This window comes from Homo sapiens, chromosome 11, assembly GCF_000001405.40.
Source record: "Homo sapiens chromosome 11, GRCh38.p14 Primary Assembly".
Lineage (NCBI taxonomy): Eukaryota > Metazoa > Chordata > Mammalia > Primates > Hominidae > Homo > Homo sapiens.
The window spans coordinates 86,165,430-86,179,974 of NC_000011.10; the positions used below are offsets into that span (position 1 = coordinate 86,165,430).

The 14,545-nt window shown below is 43.2% G+C and overlaps 2 annotated features.

The window, feature by feature from the left end:
* Positions 9,049–9,546: a transcriptional cis regulatory region, noted in NCBI's record as "candidate enhancer chr11.4684 targeted for multiplex CRISPR interference". NCBI's record gives its function as "positively regulates PICALM gene expression with high confidence in K562 cells {active_cell/tissue: K562}" and the evidence as "EXISTENCE:mutant phenotype evidence [ECO:0000015][PMID:30612741]".
* Positions 10,742–11,451: a transcriptional cis regulatory region, noted in NCBI's record as "candidate enhancer chr11.4685 targeted for multiplex CRISPR interference". NCBI's record gives its function as "positively regulates PICALM gene expression with high confidence in K562 cells {active_cell/tissue: K562}" and the evidence as "EXISTENCE:mutant phenotype evidence [ECO:0000015][PMID:30612741]".

A 14,545-nucleotide genomic window follows, 5' to 3' on the forward strand; every position in this document is an offset into this window, starting at 1 on the left:
ACACTTTCTCCTTGTGATTTTCTATGAGACCCCTTCTCTGGGTCACCTCCTATACTGGCAGCCCCATAGGTACAGCTCTATCATGATAATCATCAAACACAGAATTTTAGCTATCTGCCTATTTCAATCTTCCCCCCAGACAAAAAGTTCTGTGTCCTATTCGTTTTTCTCTTCCTAGTTCCTGCACATAGTGGCACTACTAAACATTTGAAGAATGAAGGAATTAGTAAAGGAATGGACAAAAGTCTGTGGAATAAACTCCTGCCAATGGAACACTACTCTAGAAGTAGGAACACCAAACACAAGAAGCAGGTTGGACCTAGGTGATACCATTCAGGACATAGGCACGGGCAAATATTTCATGACAAAGATGCGAAGAGCAATTGCAACAAAAGCAAAAATTGACAAATGGGATCTAATTAAACTAAAGAGCTTCTGCACAGCAAAAGAAGCTATCAACAGAGTAAACAGACCACTTATAGAAGGGGAGAAAAGTATTGCAAACTATGCATTTGACAAAGGTCTAATATCCAGCATCTATAAGTAACAAATTTACAAGAAGAGAAAAACCCCGTTAAAAAAGTGGGCAAAGGACAGACACTTTTCAAAAGAAGACATACATGCGGCCAACAATGATATGAATAAAAGCTCAACATCACTGATCATTAGAGAAATGCAAATCAAACCACAATGAGATACCATCTCACACCAGTCAGAATGGCTGTTACTAAAAAGTAAAAAAATAAGATGTTGGCAGGGTTGTGGAGAAAAAGGAACACTTATACACTGTTAGTGGGAGTGTAAATTAGTTCAACCATTGTGGAAGACAGTGTGGCAATTCCTCCAAGTCCTAAAGGCAGAAATACCATTTGATCCAGCAATTCCATTACTGGCTATATACCCAAAGGAATATAAATTGTCCTATTATAAAGACGCATGCACACATATGTTAATTACAACACTATTCACAATAGCAAAGATGTGGAATCAACCTACATGCTCATCAATGATAGATTGGATAAAAAAATGTGGTACATACACACCATGGAATACTATGCAGCCATGAAAAAGAGTGAGATCATGTCCTTTGCAGTGACATGGATGGAGCTGGAGGCCATTGTCCTTAGCAAACTAATGCAGGAACAGAAAGCCAAATATGGCATGTTCTCATTTATAAGTGGGAGCTAAATGATGAGAACACATGGACACATAGAGGAAACAACACACCCTGGGGCCTACTAGAAGGTGGAGGGTGGGAGGAGGGAAAGGATAAGGAAAAATAACTAATGGAACTAATGGGTACTAGGTTTAATACCTGGGTGATGAAATAATCTGTACAACAAACCCCCATTACACAAGTTTACCTGTGTAACAAACCTGCATGTGTACCCCTGAACTTAAAAGTTCTTTTTCAAAAAGGAAGAAGGTTGGAGAATCAACTTTTGAGACTTCTGGCACCCCTCTATGCCATAGGCTTGTACCTACTTGTGTCTTAGGTTAGTTATAAAAAAAGACATGCTGCTTTGAGAGCAGGGGGAAGATAGCATCTTATACCTTAATTTATTTAAGCTCTGTTTGGCCTAATTTCTCCAGGCCCATTTCTGTGGACCTGTGCTACTTTGTGTGGCTCTTATTCATGAACTACGTACTATTAATGACACACCAGGAGCTGATATTCTACTTGACCTGAATTGTGCTTTAACATTAATGCTGTGAAATTCACTGAAGAGAAGAATTAAACTGAAGTTAATACTCAGTTAAAAAAAAAAAAAAGACTAGTCCCTGATTTATTATTAGAAAAATCCTGGCCTTTGTTCTAATTTTATTTTATTTTTATGTTAAGATCCCAAAATAAGCTGGGCATAGTAGCAAATGCCTGTAATCCCAGCTACTTGAGAAGCTGAGGCAGGAGAATTGCTTGAGTTTAGGAGTTTGAGACAAACCTGGGCAAACTAGTGAGACCCCCATCTCCAAAATATATATATATATGTGTGTGTGTGTGTGTGTGTGTGTGTGTGTATGTATGTATGTATATGTATGTGTGTATATATATATGCATATGTGTATGTGTATATATGTGTATATATATGTGTATGTGTATATATGTGTATATATATGTGTGTGTATATATATATACAAAAAAGTCTGAGTAGCCACACAAAGCATATGTTGAGAGTCCTCAGTTGAAGCCAAATATAGGAAAAGCCAAACAGTGTATAGAAAACAAACAAATGAATCACAGTGTTGGGTAAACTGCTATTTGGCATAAATCCATGAACACAGGCCAAAAAAGTGTCTCTGCAAAGATGTAAGACATAGCTGTAGAAAATATCTCAGAAATAGATCTGAATTTGACCTGAAAACTTGACTCTGATGGAACTTTGGACAAATACATAATATTTTCCACTAATACATGTTTGTCCACCAATTTGTTCATGGATCACGGGTGAGGCTGCTCTCTGCGGTGTGAACTGCTCCATGGTGGCTTTGGTTGTTGTGCATGGCCAGCCAGAGCCAGACTAACCCACAGTCATGGGAAGCAAAGATAATACAATTTGGCAGCTTGGAGCAGTGGAATGGGCCCTGGACTGGGAGTCGGGAGCCCTGGGCCAGAGTCCAGGCTCTACTGTTAAATAACCGTACAGCACATGTAACATTCTTTAAAAATGTCTGTCCTTACCACATGCATTAACATGCAACTAACTATAGACTGTTTAATCTAATGTCCAATTTGACATTTAATTACAATAAGTCTGTTTAATTCATGGAATCACTAATTTCATGTAAAGGCACCTTGTGGATATGAAAAGGGGGAAAGCATTTGGCCTTAAGTTTTCTGAAATCTGTCAAATAATTAATTTTGTGTGTTGACTATATTCTAGGCAAAAAGGAGCTTCAAAAAATGGACGGGCTTGGCCAGTCATAATGGCTCATGCCTGTAATCCCAACACTTTGGGAGGCTGAGGTGGGTAGATCACTTGAGGTCAGGAGTTCAAGAACAGCCTGACCAACATGGTGAAACCCCGTCTGTGCTAAAAACACACAAAAAATTAGCCGGGTGTGGTGGTGCATGCCTGTAATCCTAGCTACTTGGTAGCCTGAGGCAGGAGAATTGCTTGAACCCAGGAGGTGGAGGTTGCAGTGAGCCGAGATCGCGCCATTGCACTCCAGCCTGGGCAACAGGAGCAAACGTCCATCTCAAAAAAAAAAAAAAAAAAAAAGCAAAGAACAAGCTCATGTCCTCCTACCCTCAAACTGTACATTCTAAGAGGGAACATAAGACAGAGATGTTATTATCTTTATTTTTATTTTATTTTTTGAGACAGGATCTTGCTCTGTCACCAGGCTGGAGTGCAACGGCACAATCTTGGCTCACTACAACCTCCACATTCTGGGCTCAAAAGATCCTCCCGCCTCAGCCTCCCAAACAGCTGGGACTACAGGCATGTGCTACTATGCCTGGCTAATTTTTGTATTTTTTGTAGAGATAGGGTTTTGCCATGTTGGCCAGGCTGGTCTCAAACTCTTGGACTCAAGAAATCTTCCTGCCTCGGCCTCCCAAAGTGCTGGGATTACATATGTGAGCCACTGTGCCTGGCCCAGAAATGTTATATCTGTAAAATGAGGTAGAAGGAGAAGAGTAATAATGAGAGCTAGCATTTATTAAATAGTCACTATAGGCAAGGCACTATTCTAAATGCTTTATATTGGGCGGGGCATGGTGGCTCATACCTGTAATCCCAGCACTTTGGTAGGTCAAGGCGGGTGGATCACTTGAGGTGAGGAGTTTGAGACCAGCCTGGCCAACATGGTGAAACCCTGTCTCTACTAAAAATACAAAAATTAGCAGGGCATGGTGGCGTGCAACTGTAATCCCCGCTACTCAGGAGGCTGAGGCACAAGAATCATTTGAACTCGGGAGGCAGAGGTTGCAGTGAGCCAAGATCGTGCCACTGCACTCCAGCCTGGGTGACAGAGCGAGACTCTGTCTCAAAAATAAGTAAATAAATAGTTTATATTTACGGCCTCGTTTAAACCTAACAGAAACCTTAAGAGGTAGGAACTACCATCAACTCCATTTTTACAGGTGAGGAACCTGAGGCATGGAGAGTTTTTGTTTGTTTGTTTTAACTTCCCCAATATTGCCTAGCTAAAGAGCCCTGGAGATTTGAACTCAGGTGGAGGTGGTATGACTGAAGGTCCTACGTGCCTAACCTCTGTGCCACTTGGTCTACCAGGGACCACCTGAGAGGTACATACAAAAAGTATCCTGGGAGCTCCACTGAGGGAGACATTCACCCAAAGAGAAAGATTACCTCTACTTTGCACACTAAGCTTTGATGAATGGGAGGATTTGGACATACAAATGTTGGTTGTGAGGTCAGAGAAAGAATTCAGACAAAGGGAAAGAAGTGCTTCCAGGTGGAGAGCAGCATTAGTAAAACATGAATGCAGTAAACACACAGGATCTAAGGAAATAGCCAAGATCAGTCTGGATATAACAGAATGAGTGAAAGCAAAATCATGGGAAAGAGGGTTGGGAGAATAAGCTGAAGCCGAACATGAAAGGTGGGCTCAGGCCGGGCTCAGTGGCTCACACCTGTAATCCCAGCACTTTGGGAGCCCAAGGCGGGCAGATCACAAGGTCAGGAGTTGAAGACCAGCCCTGCTTATTTTGCAGAGAGACCAAATGAAATTAAAATGGTCAAATAGACTTACTCAAAGTCACCTAGCAAATAAAATCAAAGTCACCTAGAAAAATCACTCTTGAACATGGAATTTTTGAAAAGTAAAACAAAAGCTTTTGTTGCACATTTATAAAATCTGCACGTACAGTAGATGTATCAAATGTTCTTCTCTCCCAACATTCATTCATGAGTCTTTGACACTTGGTTAAAACACAATATCCAAACAGGAGGCTTTTACAGTGTTGAACACAAAATCTTTTATACTTAGAAAAGTGATTATTTATATGCCATGCTACAAAATAATTCAGTAGAGATATTAACATTAACAATAGCTGACCCTGATTGCGCACTTGCTCTGTGGCAAGCATGGTTCTGAGCACTTAAAATGCATTTTCTCATATCATTAAGAAAACAATCCTTACATAGGTACTACTTTTATTTACTTTTTATGGTAGAGGAATCTTAAAAGACAATTAGTAACTTACTTAAGGTTATACAGCTTGTGAGTCCCTATCTGGGATTCAAACCTAGGACTGCCTGACACCAAATTTTATGGTTTGCTTTATGTTTTTTTTTTTTTTTTTTTTTTTTTTTTTTTTTTTTTTTTTTTTTTTTTGAGACAATCTTGCTCTGTCACCCAGGCTAGAGTGCAGTGGTGTGATCTCGGCTCACTGCAAGCTCTGCCTCCTGGGTTCACGCCATTCTCCTGCCTCAGCCTCCTGAGTAGCTGGGATTACAGGCATCCGCCACCATGCTCGGCTAACTTTTGTATTTTTAGTAGAGACGGGGTTTCACTGTGTTAGCCAGGATGGTCTCCATCTCCTGACCTCGTGATCCGCCCACCTCGGCCTCCCAAAATGCTGGGATTACAGGCGTCAGCCACCGCGCCCCGCCGCTTTATGTTTTTTGGGTTTTTTTTTCATTCTGTGGCCCAAACTGGAATGCAGTGGCACAATCTTGGCTCATTGCAACCTCCCCCTCCTTGGTTCAAATTATTATCCCACCTCAGCCTCCTCCTGAGTAGCTGGGACTACAGGCACGTGCCACCATGCCTGGCTAATTTTTCTATTTTTAATAGAGACAGGGTTTCACCATGTTAGCCAGGCTGGTCTCAAACTCCTGGTGTCAAGTCATCCACCCACCTCGGCCTCCCAAATTGTTGGGATAACAGGTGTGAGCCACTGCGTCTTGAGCCACCGAGTCCGGCTGAATTTTATGTTATTAACTATTACACTACATGACCTCCATAGCGAGTAGAGGATGCCACTTACCTTCTTACCAGAAAACTTTAATTAGCCAGAGAAGCTGTAGAAACTAAGAAGTTTAATCTTTAATAATTTCTGCCCTTAATTGAAAGTCTCTAGGTAAACAACTTTTAATAAGACTCCTTAACTCCCTGTCTTGACCAAGCATCTTTGCTGGGAAACAGATGCCCTTGGTTTGTTGCACAGTCAGGATTTCAGTGAGGGTTTGCAGTCTGTAGCCTGCCCAGTGGCCATCAAATAGCTGCCCTGCCATGAGTGAAGACTGCCTGGTGAGCCTGGGACCCTAGGCAGGAATCTGGAGTCTTGAAAAGCTATGCTTGGACTGGCCTGGGGCCCAGCCTCCTGCTCTACTCGGCCCTTCCACTGACCACCAAGTCCCATTAACCGCATTTAAGAAATGGTGTTTGGCAGGTTCTCATTTATATGTAGAAACGTAAAACGTTGATCTCATGGAAGTAGAGAGTGGAATAATGGTTACTAGAGGTGGGGAAGGGTAGAGCAGAGGGGGAATAGCCAAAGGTTGGTTAACAAATACAACAGTGCAGCTAAAAAGGAGGAAGTTCTAGTGTTCTACAGCACTGTAGCATGACTATAATTAACAACAATGATTGTGTATTTTCAAATAGTCAGAAGAGTGAATTTTGAATGTTCCCAACATGAAGAAATGAGAAACGTCTGAGGTGATGGCTATGCTAACTACCCTGACCCGATCATTACACATGGTATACTTGTATCAAAATATCACCCTGTACTTCATAAATATGTACAATTATTATATGTCAATTCAGAATAATAAAAGAAAAAGAAGAAATGGCCTTTGGCTCTGCTTGCTCTCTGTCCTTACTGCCACTGCCCTTCTTTAGATCTCCATCAATCATCTCTTGCCAGGACTACTCTAAAAGCCCCCTAAGTCCTTGGGCATCTAATTTGACACCTTCCAATCCTCTCCTCTGCTGCTAGCATGCTCTCTTTAAAGCTGATCATGTTAATCCTCTTCTCTGAAATCTTTGACGGACTGTTGCCTACAAAATAAAAACCACACGCCTAAGCATATCCTCTTATACCCTTAACAATTTGGCCATTACTTACCTTCTAGGACTCAATAAATATTTGATGAAAAAGTGAATGCTCTCCTGCTAGAAATCCTGTTAACAACATTCCCCACACTTCTTATTTAAGAGTCAAGTTTAGTGAGTGTCCCCAATGCATTGAATTTTAACAATCACTATTTTATCATAGGATAATAGAAACAGTTGGAACATAGAGTTGAGTCCTGCATTTGAATGCATTTATGGCTTTTTCTCTTTATATAAATCTGGGCAAGTTAATTCCTGCTTGTGGGCCTCAGTTTCTCCATTTGTGTAAAAGAGGGTAAACAAAAGATCTCTAAGGCCCTGCAACCCATGTCTGTACTAGTCCCTGACACTAGCATCTCTTTGAAAGAAGGAACCAGGAAGGTTAGTCCCTAGCCTGCCAGAGATGTGTGCCCACAGCTAATTCCTATACTCAGTAGCTTGAAGGCATCCTTACTTTATCACCTTTAACCCTTCAGCACTGTGTCTTGTAATCTCCTAACTGGGCCCTCACTGAGTCACAGTACTGGGGTTTTAATCTTCTATATAACAGCATCTGAAGCTGAGACAATGGAGCTCTCAGAGCCTTTAGCTATGATCTTATCTTCTGATCAAGATTTTCTTGGCTTGTGATTGCTCAGCCATGATGGGGTGGAGAAAAGCCCCTACGCTAGGAAGTGCTAGTGCTGACTCAGCATGCTGCAGGTCTGGAATTGGAGCAGAAACTTGTGTGGACCAGCAGGGACCTTGCAGGCTTAAGGAAGAAAGAGAGGAAAGGGCCAGGCAAACCTAAGAGAAACAATCCTGAAGGCAGAGATTTCAAGACATGCAAAACAGCAGGGTTTCTGTAAAGGAGAACTTCTTTACTGAGAACCTCCCGTATAGTAGACACTTTAACCTGGGCTACAAATCTGCAAGGCAGGTATTATTATTATCCCATTTCACACATGGGGAATCAAAAGTTCAGAGATTAGTCAGGTGCGGTGGCTCATGCCTATAATCCCAACACTTTGGGAGGCCAAGGTGGGTGGATCACCTGAGGTCAGGAGTTTAAGACCCGTCTGGCCAACATGGTGAAACCCTGTCTCTAATAAGAATACAAAAATTAGCTGGGCATGGTGGCACGCGCCTGTAGTCCCAGCTATTCGGGAGGCTGAGGCAGGAGAATTGCTTGAACCAGGGAGGCGAAGGATGCAGTGAGCCATGATCGTGCCACTGCACTCCAGCCTGGGTGACAGAGCAAGACTCTGTCTCTCTCTCTCTCTAGCAAGACTCTGTCTCTGTCTCTCTCTCTCTCTCTCACACACACACACACACACACACACACACACACACTCTTCAGAGATTAACTTTTCCAGAACCACATGACTAGTAAGTAGCTGTGGGGTTCAAATGTAGGTCTCCAAAGGTCTGTGCCCTTTCTTTCACACACACTGAGAGGCATCTGAGAGGGACTTAGGAAGTCTTGAGAGTAAAACTAGATGGTCAGTGAATGCCCATTGGATGGCAATTTCAAGCAAATGGACAAAATAGTAATGGGATAATATTGAATCCTAAATCACCAGCAGTAACTGTGAGAAAGGTAGAATTACAAACTCCCTGCTAAATAGCTTTAGGTCATAAATGAATGTTATCCTTTGGAGGGCACAAAATGAAGTGGTTAATTCCTTGAACACCAATGTGACTAATAAGCAAGCCATGGCATCCGTCATCTCGTCCGCACAGCTGTCTGGGTAGGCTAATCTCTGGCTCAAGGCCCTGGCTCCTGTCTGCCCAGTGGCATGCTGCACTCTGATCTCCTGGCTCCACAGTGAGCTTGACATTTCTGCTGAGTCTGACTCACTTGCTCCCAGCCTCAATTGTTCTGTGCCAATGCAGACTTCTTTTACAGTTGGCCTACTTAGAAACACAGGATGTTAGTGTTGGAAGGGAGATCCTTTAGAAGTCACCTAGTACAATCCCCACACATTACAAATGAGAAAACAGGCCCCAGATGAGGCTTGGTGATGACGTGCCTAAATTCCGGTCAGTTTAGTTATAAGGCATGATAAGACCTCAGCCACATGGCCCATAGGGAGGAAGCTGGGAATGAGCAGGACTGGAGCTGGCAATGCTGCATCAGCTGTAGGACTCCTAGGGCTGGGGTGGAGCACAGGGAGTGGATCCAGCTCCTTGGAAGAATGAGTTGGGTTAGGGAAGCAAAGCGTCAGGAACCCAGCCAGGCAGTGTGGAGTTCAGGGTAGCACTTTTGAAATGTGTGGCTGGGGAGAAGAATGAGGCTGAAGGTCAGTTGTGAAGACTGGACCAACATGCCCAGGAGGGTGAGGGGGTGTGAAGAAAAGTCACAACTTGAGGCTATCAGGGTGTGCAGAGTTCACCAGAGATGTGATAAGGTCCAGAGCAGTGGCAGCACACCCCACCCCCATGCTGAGTTGTGGCTGGTGCACTTCTGCCCTCTTTTTTTTTTTTTTGAAATGGAGTCTAGCTCTGTCGCCCAGACTGGAGAGCAGTGGCATGATCTTGGCTCACCACAACCTCTGCCTCCTTGGTTCAAGCGATTCTCCTGCCTCAGCCTCCCAGGTAGTTAGGACTATAGACGTATGCCACCACACCCGGCTAATTTTTGTATTTTCGATACGGACAGGGTTTCACCATGTTGGCCAGGCTGGTCTCGAACTCCTGACCTCAAGTGATTTGCCTGCCTTGGCCTCCCAAAGTGCTGGGATTACAAGCGTGTGTCACTGCACCCAGCCACTTCTTGCCCTCTTTAGGAAGGTTCCAGCCTGAAGCTGGAGGGAGCTGGTGATTTCATATCATAGCCAAAGAGCTGGGGAAGACAGCACTAAAGAACACCATCTATTCTGCCTCCCAAATGTCTCTAAGGTGTCCTTTACCTCCATTTCTACTGTCACCACCCTGAGCCCTGGTTGTCACCCACCTGAATTATTGCAACAGCAGTTTAGTTAACCACTTATCCTCTGCCTGTACTATTTCTAAAGCACTCTTCTCATTGCCACCCAAGCAGTGTTTCTATGACGTGAAGATGTCACTTGCTTTCTATAAATGTTGGATGGCTTGCACTGCCTAGCAGGCTTTCTCTCCTGGGCTTCCATGTGAGAACCAAGCCCTCCAGAAAATTATCTGAGTGACTATTTCAGGTCTTTCCAGGATGGTACATAGTTAATACCATTCTAGGTGTACAGGGGAGAGAAATTTATTTGTATGATAGATGTCTTAAGTCATCAGGGCTTAATTTTTCTGGTGGAATCCTGATTGGGAAGGGCTGGATAGAACAAAGCCCAGATATATGAACCTGGCACATTAGATCCTACATGACTTCAGCCCAGTGTTCCTTCTAGCCTTATCTCCTATTCTCCCCACTGTGCATTCTGTGCTCCGGTCACACCGAACTCTTGCCATTCCTTCATCTAGCTATTCTGTTCATCTGTTAATGTTCCTCCTTCAACCTGGTCTCCTTCTTGGACTTTAAAATCTTAGACATCCATCATTCAAGACCAAGCTCAGATGTCACCTCCTCTCTGCAGTGGTGCTTTCTACAGCCTTCAAAGGCACATCAAATTGTTCCTTCCCCAATGTGCCAATAATATTTTTGTATGTGTGTACCACTTCATTATTCATAATTGGAGGTTTACAAATCTGTGTGACTTAAAAATTTTGAGTTTCTGCACAGCAGGGAACATCTCCTCCACCCCCTGACCTGAATAGATGTTTGTTTAACTGAATGGCCTGAAGCCCACTAGATAATCAATGATAATGCTAATTCTGGAACACATGACTTAACTCTTATTCCATCATTATTTGGGTTTCTATATATGACTACAACTAGATCGAACATGAAGTATGTCACTGTCAGATATGCAGCTGTGCATGGTGATAGTGTGGGCTGGGAGAAGACTTTCTGAATAATTACTGACACAATGAGGGAGTGAGACCTGGCAGATCTAAGTGGGAATGGGGAATGGAGCCAGAAAGATGTTAGATAAGGTATAGGGGTAGACTTCATCAAGAGGTATGCAGAGGACCAATTTTATAATTTCTACAGGAAATAAGAAAAGGAAAAAAGAAGAAATAATTAGTGGTGGGGTTAAGTGAAGGAAATATGTCAAGAACTAATGTCTGAAATGACTCATCAAATCTGAAATCTGATAAAGGGAACTTACATTTGCGTAGTGTAGAATATCGTCACATAGATGATCTCATTTAATTCTCAGAACAACCCTGAGGTGGAGGGTGGGGTGCGTGGAGGGCAGGTAGGGAGTGTTGCACTGTTGTTACAGTCCTCTCTTTACAGAGGAGATGACCAAAGCTCAGAGAGCAGAAATTACATGCCAAACATCCAGTGTCCCTAAGTGATGCAACTGGAACCAGAGACAAGTCAGCCTGTCTCCTGGTCCAAAGCCACATTCACCTTTTTTTTCAGAATGGGGAGGCAGCTCCTCTGATCTAAAAGCTGAAAGTCTTCATAAAATCAAATAGAATGGCTAGGCACAGTGGCTCATGCCTGTAATCCCAGCACTTTGGGAGGCCAAGGCAGGTGGATCACCTGAGGTCAGGAGTTCAAGACCAGCCTGGCAAACAATGGCCAACATGGTGAAACCCCATCTCTACTAAAAATACAAAAATTAGCCAGGCATGGTGGGAGGCACCTGTAATCCCAGCTACTTAGAAGGCTGAGGCAGGAGAATCGCTTGAACCCGGGAAGCAGAGGTTGCAGTGAGCCAAGATCGTGCCACTGCACTGCAGCCTGGGTGGCAGAGGGAGATGCCGTCTCAAAGAAACAAACAAACAAAAACAAAACAAAAAAAAATTAAATAGACTGACATGTAGAGGTTTTTCTGAGCACTGACTCAGAGAGATTCTCCATAAATTCAATTTTTTCTAGGCTGCTTTAAAATGAGGATAGAACACCATTTAGTCAGCTGACTTTCAGGGAGTCAGCTGATACAGAGTAATTCTCCACTTGAGCTGGGAGAAGTCTGACTTGGCTAGAGAATCTGGGGCAGGAAAGAAGAGCAGAGAGCAGTTTATTTTTTACCTCCCTGTGGCTCTAGGGGGTACACAGGACAACCAAAGATGATGCTGCACTTTTTGGTCAACTCTAGACAGAGAGAGAGAAAGTCTCAGGGTGATGGAGTGAAAGAGTTAGGAAGACAAGAGTTCTCTCAGCTGGCCCTCTGTTTCTCAGATCTACCCACAAACCTTGGAACCTGTGAGACTTAGACTATAAGTACCACTGACCAGGCTCTGCAGAGGATCCTTTCTGCTGTATTTAACAGAATACAACATTTCCTGTCCCCCTGACAAAATGGTCAGACCCTCAGGGGCACAGAGTTGGTTTAAATAACTTTTTACCCCACTATGTTGCACTGTAGGCAGATCACTTGAGGTCAGGAGTTCGAGACCAGCCTGGCTAACATGATGAAATCCTGTCTCTACTAAAAATACAAAAATTAGCCGGGCGTGGTGGCAGGTGCTGGTAGTCCCAGCTACTCGGGAGGCTGAGGCAGGAGAATCGCTTGAACCTGGGAGGTGGAGGTTGCAGTGAGCCAAGATTGTGCCACTTCACTCCAGCCTGGGTGACAGAGCAAGACTCCATCTCAAAAAAAAAAAAAAAAAAAAAAAAAAAAAGATTAGGGCAACATAGGCTGGTGTGGTTGAAAGAGACTAAAGACACTGTCTAATTCAAATGCTTCATTTTAGCAGTGAGAAAATGAAGGCCCAGAGAAAGGAAGTGTCTCACTAGATCACACAACTAGTCCATGGCAAAACCAGATAAAGAAAATAGTTCTACTTTTCAATTAAGATCCTGATCTGGCCGGGCGTGGTGGCTCATGCCTGTAATCCCAGCACTTTGGGAGTCCGAGGCAGGTGGATCACCTGAGGTCAGGAGTTCGAGGCCAGCCTGACAAACCCATCTCCACTAAAAATACAAAAATTAGCCAGGTGTGGTGGCACATGCCTGTAATCCCAGCTACTCAGGAGGCTGAGGCAGAAGAATCGCTTCAACCTGGGAGATGGAGGTAGTGGTGAGCCAAGATTGCACCATTGCACTCTAGCCTGGGCAACAAGAGTGAAACTCCGTCTCAAAAAAAAAAAAAAAAAAAAAAAAAATTCCTGAACTGAAGTTATTCAGGAGGCCAAGGAAATCATTCTCTTCCTTCCCTTCTGTCACAACTCAGTAAATCTTTCTTGGCTTCTTGATTATTGGAGGAAGTAAACATTTTTCTATGCTGTCTTTTCTGGGACTGAGCATGGTCTGTAAGTAATAAACAAGAGTTTCTTCATCCTCTGGAACTCTATCCTCTGTATCCTTTGTAAACCCCACTCTCTAAAAAGCTCTCAGTTTTATGACTGGAGCCCCAGAACCAGGGGAAACATGCTGCCTGGGTTTTGCTTTTTCAGTGGAAGCAGATTATATCAACCTTGGTCAGAAAACATCATGAAATTCTGTTCCACTGTTGTTTAAAATAAATATTTCTGTGAAAAATGCTGATAAAATTTGTATTAGTCAGGGTTCTCCAGAAAAATGGAACCAACAGGATTCATGTATGTGTGTGTGTAAAAAGAGCACTAAAGAGATGTTAAAGAATTGACTCATGCAATTATAGAGGATGATGTCTTAGTCTGTTTTCTGTTGCTTCAAAAGAATATTTGATCCAGCGTGTATTCTGTACTTAAAAAAAAAAAGAAAAAAAAGAAAATCTGAAACTGGGTAATCTGTAAAGAAAAGAGGTTTATTTGGCTCACACTTCTGCAGGATAAGAAATTCAAAGGCATGGCCTTGGCTTCTGGCGAGAGCTTTCATGCAGCATCACAACATGTTGGAGAAGGTCAAGCCGGAAGCAGACACATGCAAACAGGGGAAGCCAGGGGAGCGTCCTGGCATTATAGCAACCCACTTTCACAGGAACTAATCATTGCTATGAGAACCAGTTCAGTTGCCTGACAGCGAGAACGGACTAACTTGAGAACATCACAAAGCCATTCATGAGCGCTGTCCCCATAATCCAAATACCTTCCACTAGTCCCCACCTCCCAACACCAGCACACTGAGGATCAAATTCAGCATAAGCTTTGGTGGAGACAACCAACCATATCCAAACCATAGCAGATGGCAAGTCCAAAATCTGCAAGGCAGGCGAGCAGTCTGCAGAACCCAGAAAGAATTAATGTTGCAGTTCAAGGCTGAAGGCCGCCTGCTGAAAGAATTTCCTCTTGCTCAGAGGAGGTGAGTCTTTTGTTCCAGTTAGGCCTTCAACTGATTGGATAAGGCACACCCACATTATGAAGGGCAATCTGGTTTCCTCAAAGTCCAATAAATTAAATGTTAATTTCATCTAAAACACTTTCACAGAAACATCCAGAATAATGTTTGACCAATATCCGGGCATTGCAGCTCAGCCAGGTTGACACAAAATAAACATCACAAGACCACAAGCTGAAAGTTTTACAACCCAAGAGTCCCGTTAGAACTCTGATGTAGCTGGATGAGTGCCAG